The sequence below is a fragment of the Homo sapiens genome, chromosome 1, assembly GCF_000001405.40.
Source record: "Homo sapiens chromosome 1, GRCh38.p14 Primary Assembly".
NCBI classification, from domain to species: Eukaryota; Metazoa; Chordata; class Mammalia; order Primates; family Hominidae; genus Homo; species Homo sapiens.
The window spans coordinates 214,337,492-214,343,491 of record NC_000001.11 but is presented as its reverse complement, the minus strand read 5'-3'; the positions used below and the strand labels follow the sequence as shown (position 1 = coordinate 214,343,491).

At 42.6% G+C, this 6,000-nt stretch overlaps 1 annotated feature.

The window, feature by feature from the left end:
* Positions 459-960: an enhancer, noted in NCBI's record as "NANOG hESC enhancer chr1:214515875-214516376 (GRCh37/hg19 assembly coordinates)". NCBI's record gives its function as "activates a minimal SCP1, AML or CMV promoter by ChIP-STARR-seq in primed H9 embryonic stem cells {active_cell/tissue: H9 hESC(primed)}" and the evidence as "EXISTENCE:reporter gene assay evidence [ECO:0000049][PMID:30033119]".

Here is a 6,000-nt window from a genome sequence, read left to right as displayed (position 1 = left end):
GCCATTGCACTCCAGCCTGGGTGACAGAGTGAGACTTCATCTCAAAAAAACAAACAAAAAAAAAGGTATGACTAAGACAGACATTGATAGGGTTAAAACAAAGGTCTTAATACAGCACTATTAAAGTTTGGGTGGACCAAAGTGTCTCCTAATGGTATTAGTCCATTTTCACACTGCTGATAAAGACATACCCAGTCTCGGGTATGTCTTTATCAGACTGGGTATAAAGAAAAAGAAGTTTAACAGACTCACACTTCCATGTGGCTGGGGTGGCCTCACAATCATGGTGGAAGGCAAAAGGCACGTCTTACGTGGCAGCAGATAAGAGAGAATGAGAGCCAAAGGGAAAGAGGTTTCCCCTTATAAAACCATCAGATCTCGTGAGACTTATTCACTACCACGAGAACAGTATGGGGGAAACCACCCCCATGATTCAATTATGTCCCACCAGGTCCCTCCCGCAACACATGGGAATTATGGGAGCTACAATTCAAAATGAGATTTGGGTGGGGACACAGCAAAAACATATCAGTCACCCAACATTAAAGGGTCCCAAACAAGTTCACTCTATTTACTCCAGTTTGGAGAAATTTTAAAAGCCAGAAGGCCAAGATTACAATGAGAAACCTGACCTGGAATCACAGGACAATAGTAAGATTAACCAAGACCAAGACTGACAAAAAGGTCAGAGTTCTTTGCCTCAACCCCCTGCTGGTGACCCAAAGCTTTATGTAAATGAATGGGTTATGTACATGAATGGGTTATGTACATGAATGGGTTATGTACTCCACCCATTTAGGGGGTGGAGAAATTTCTGGAACTCCTTTACATGGGGGCTTCATGGACTGTGGTATCCAAACCCACTGGTGAAGCTCTAACATAAGCTAGAATTAGGTTGAGGGAATACAGAAGAGTTGACAGGATTATGAAAGTTAGAATGTTTAAACAGACTTTTTGTAAAATTGTGTCTCCTTTACTTGAATGTTTTGTGGGAATGGATATTATGTCATCTTGGGGAACACTTTCTTTACCTAATATTGTAAAACTAAAACTTGTTGATGATGTCCGATGGTGGCTACAGTTAGGACTGTAGGGGTTGATGAGATTAAGGTGAAAATTTGTACAAAAAGTTGCATCTGAATGTATTATGGGGATGGACATTAGGTTTAACTGAGGAACTGTGTCTGCAAAGAAGAAGGTGTATAAATCATCTTCAAGCAATATTAATTGGACATGCTAAATGGGAACCAGTAAGATTGCCCAAGCCCACACAGTGTAGAATAAAAGCTGGAGTGCTGATATACACAAAATCTCTGTGGGATAGTTCTTTGTGGAGCACTGGCTGGGACTTACGGCAAAAGCCTGTGAGCACCTCCCAGCGATGACTACTGGGACTGTGGACTAGAAAATTTCCATTTGAGAAGCAATTCATCTCATCAGACATTAATTGAAAATACTCCTATGACTGAAGGGCATAAAATAATCTTGAAACCTGAAATACCCATAATGCCTTAGATGATGTTGGAGAAGCACTCTAACGTGGATGGCAGTGCCCAGAAGAGTTCCATCATAAAATGAAATGGTTTCTACAGGATCTTGTTACCTGAGGAATGCAAGGACATATTCACAAACAGGGAAGCTGTTTTGTCCTAGGACTGACTGGTACTGCATGAGAAGCTGTCGGATCTATTGCCACTTGGACAGTGCCCAGAAACAGCCTTTCACTAACCAACAAAGAACTGCTTGGTTTATGGACTACAGTTCCAAAGTGAATGGACATCTAGTTTGGAAGGTCACTACTCTGATCAGAGAAGGGTAAAAGTCAGCTTGGTGGACTGAACTGCTTGCTGTTTGTCACCACGTTTTGGTTTTTACCAGCTCACTGGTGCTGGTGAATATGGCCAGGCAGAAGGGGAATGGAAACCTGGGCCATTAAAGGGACGGGCCACACAGATGGGAACCACCATAGGAATTTGAAGAGTGCATTAAAGTAGGACCTATCAATGCCCATCAAAAGAAAACCCTTCTGACATCAGAAGGTAAATGGAATCAACAGCAGATACCCTCATGTGCTCACCTAGGTGGCCACCTAGGTCCATGAAATGAGTGGACATGGCAGGGACAGGCTGCAATAATGCAGAGATGGGCTCAATCTAGACATACTCCTGTTGCACCCTCTGAGAAACAAAATGCCAGTAAGGGCTGTTTTGGGTGGGGTGGGGGGCCCTGAACATAGCTCACAAGTCAGGTTAATGCCAGTAGGCCCAGGAGGCTACAACTGGGTCCTGAGAGAAATCAACACTGACTCTGGACTGGGATTTGCTTACCCAGTGGTAGATGCAACTATGCTTAGAGTGCTACAAAAGAACCAGAAGATACTGCACCCATTCCAGACCAAGGGACACACTTTGCAGCCCACCGTGTCCTCCAGTGGGAAGAGATAGCTCAGCAAATGGGCACTTTGTGTTGCATATTATCCTCAGAGAAATGGCTTAATAGAGAATTGGAACAGGCAGTTGAAATATTTACTGTCTAAAATGGGGGGAGATAAAGGCAGGAAGGGCTGGCTTCCATGCCTTCACAAGTGTGTGCTCACATAAAATAAGGGGGGGCCTAAGGGAGTGTCCCCACTGGAGAGAGTCCTGTTTTCCTGGTGAAACTGGGGCAGAGGGGTTGGGAAAGAGTGCTGGTATGACCACCATTCTTCCCAAGGAAAAGATGCTGGTATAACCATACTTTTTTTTTTTTTTTCCTTTCCTACATCATCTCAACTTTCTTTTTCCTATCTGATGCAGTGGTCCCAGGACCAGGGCTGCAACTACCAGTGCTAGAAACAGGGATGATTTCTAAGCAAGAAACTGAACTACGTTTCTAAACCTTTATGTCAGAATTCTTAAGGGTCTGATGGGGCAGGTCAGGCCTTCATCCTATCTATCTGGCAAAATCAGGGTTACCAGTGAATGCAGCTCTATTGCCTAGTGTCAGAAATAGCCCATTAGTTCTGTACCTACAGAATCCTACCGTACCTGAAGGGAGTGGACTGAAGGGGAGGCATTTTTGTTAGACTAGTATTGCTGTCTGCAACCTAGACAAGCACAGAGGTGGAACCTAATGTCTCTTCCAAAGGTGAATGAACAAAGGGGATAAATGGAGAGGAGAAATAGCAGCTGAGGGCAAAGGAATGATTAAATGAGTTATGTAATAGGGGAAATCCAGTATCGTGCTGACATCTTGAAAAAGGCTCAGAACAAGAGATGATATTGTCTCTTAGCTCAATTATACCAGAGGCCTGAAAGGGTAAAGACATATTGCCAAGATCACTCTCGCCTGTGGAACCTGACAAGATCAAATAGAAGCCTGTACGCCTGAGTGGCCTCAGCTAGGGAGACATTTTCATGCAGTAGGATGATAGACTGGATTACCAGTGACTACACGGGAAGCTAGAAATATGCCAGTAAATATCATCCTTTTTTATGAGTAATCTGTGGTCAGAGACCAAAAGGGTGTCCTTTAGTGTCATAGAAAGATTATTTGGTCATTGTCCTCAGTTCCTGGGACACAGCTCCTCTTAAAAGACCCTTGGAATTTCCTAAGTGATAGGAGTCTCTTTTGTTCTAATACAGCAACTCTTGGTGTGCCTCTAGGTAGCTTCAGGATGAGGGGTGACCTCCAGAAAGACCAAGCCTTAATTAGAAGCTTGGAATGTTCAGCCTCAACTCCCCAACCTGTGGGGAAGATAGAAGGGCTGCAGACTGAGTTAATCATCAATTGCTAATGATTTTATTAAATGACTAATGATCATTTAAGTCAAATGATCAATGATTTAAACCCTGTACAATGGGGTTTGGAGGGCTTCCGAGTTGGTGTACACGTCCATGTGCCAGGAAGATGTCACACCCCCAGCTCCATGAGGATGGAAGTTCCTGTACCCGGGACCCTTCCAGACCTTGCCCTATGTACCCTTCATTTGCCTGTTCATTTGTATCCTTTATAATAAGCTAGTAATAGGAAGTAAAATGTTTTCCGGACTCTGATAAGCCATTCTAGCAAATTATCGAACATGAAGGCGAGGGGATTGTGGCAACCCCCTGACTTTGTGGCCAAGTCAGATGATAGAAACTGGGTAACCTGGGAGCCAGGCAAGGTGGTTCGTGCCTATAATTCCAGTACTTTGGGAAGCCGAGGTGGGAGGATCCCTTTAGGCCAGGAGTTTGAGACCAGCCTGGGCAAGACAGCAAGACCCACCTCTAAAAACAACAAAAAAAATAACGCCACTGCACTCCAGCCTGGGTGACCGAGTGAGATCCTTCCAACTGGCATCTGAAGTGAGGGAAGTCTTATGGGATGGAGTCTTTAAACCTATGGAGTCTGACGCTAACTCCAGGGTAGTATCAGAATAGAACTGAATTGTAGGACACACAGTTGGTGTCCAAAGAGTTAGAGAATAGCTGGTGTGAGATAAAACCTCAAACATTCGGTGTCAGAAAGTGTTGTGCTAAAAACAGCTCAGCCATGAATGTCAATTCACCGAAGAAATAAAATAAATCCTGAATATATGAAAAACAGTCCAATCTCACTAATAAATGCATATAAAACAAAATATTTCACACATTACATTGCCAAAAACATTTTAATGATAATACAACGTTATGAGGGAGAGGAAAGCAAATACTATTATATCTATCTTATTTGTATCTGATGCAGTTTTTTTTTTTTTTTACAAAAGGAAATGTGGCTATATTTATTCAAATTTTAAAAATATTCCCACTATTGGATCTTGAAATTGCACTTCCAGGAATCTATTCCCCAAAATGCTACCACACAACGCAAAGTTTTATGTTTCAGATCATTCATTGTGGCATTGTTTGTAATAGCAGCAAACTGGGAAAAAAAACCTCCTGTCCATAAATAGAAGTACCGAGTCCATGATGACATGCATCCAATGCAATATTCTGCCTCTAAATAGAATGAGGCAAATCTGTAAGTGCTGAAATGCAAAGAGATCCATTTTGTTCGTTTGGAGAAGCACGTTACAAAATCCTATGTCAGTACCATCCTGTCTTTGTTCTTCTAAATCTATTTATATAGCTACATCATCATCCAGGAATGGAAAAACCTGGGACCATATAAAGCAAACTGTTTATGGCAGTTAGCTCCACGCAGTGGGACTGGTGAAGAACAAAGAAGTTTACTTTTTTCATATACATTTCCATTACTTGAATTTACTGAGAAAGGATTACTTTTGCAAATTTTATAAAACCTATAGAGATGGTAGGCTAAGTTTATTTTAGGCTTCGTCACAGAATGTATAGTAAATGAACATTCTTAAAACCTAAGTTCCACTGATCTGGGACCATGCCTTACTCTTCTCTTTGCACCTAGAGAGCTATTCAGAGCATTTAGCATAGATAGTACCAGGTGTTCAGTAAATGTCTTATTGGACTACACAGGACAAGAGAATGCATTCTATCTGCTAAATCCCACTGTGTGCAGCAAACTGCGTGTGAAAGAGGGGCATGAGTGTGTGTGAAGATGTGGGTGCGTGTAGATGAGGAGGGAAGGAAAATGTACCAGATTTACAGCTGTTCTAGCTGTTTTCGGACCATGACTATGAAAGGTAATTGACATGTAAATTTCAACAGGCTTTACTTATTAACCAGTGGGGAAGTTCCTCTCTTTCGACTACAAGACGCTTTTCTAAGAGTAACACCCCTGCACTCAGGAACGTGTGCTGCGTCCTTCTGTGCAATGGTTGCTAACAAACAACTCCCCAGGTTGCTGCTGTCTAGGCTGTGGGGCTGCAGAAAGCTGGATTCCTGTTGTCTGTGTGGGTAGAGATCAGTGTTTACTCAACAACACAGCGTTGGTTGGTAAGGAAAAACATTTTTTTCCTTCCCAAGCATACCCTGGAGTTTTTCCAAAAAGGAGAGTACTGCACAGAACAATCAACAGAATGAGAGATGGCAAGTCTGCTTTCAGACAGATGGGGACAGAAAAGCC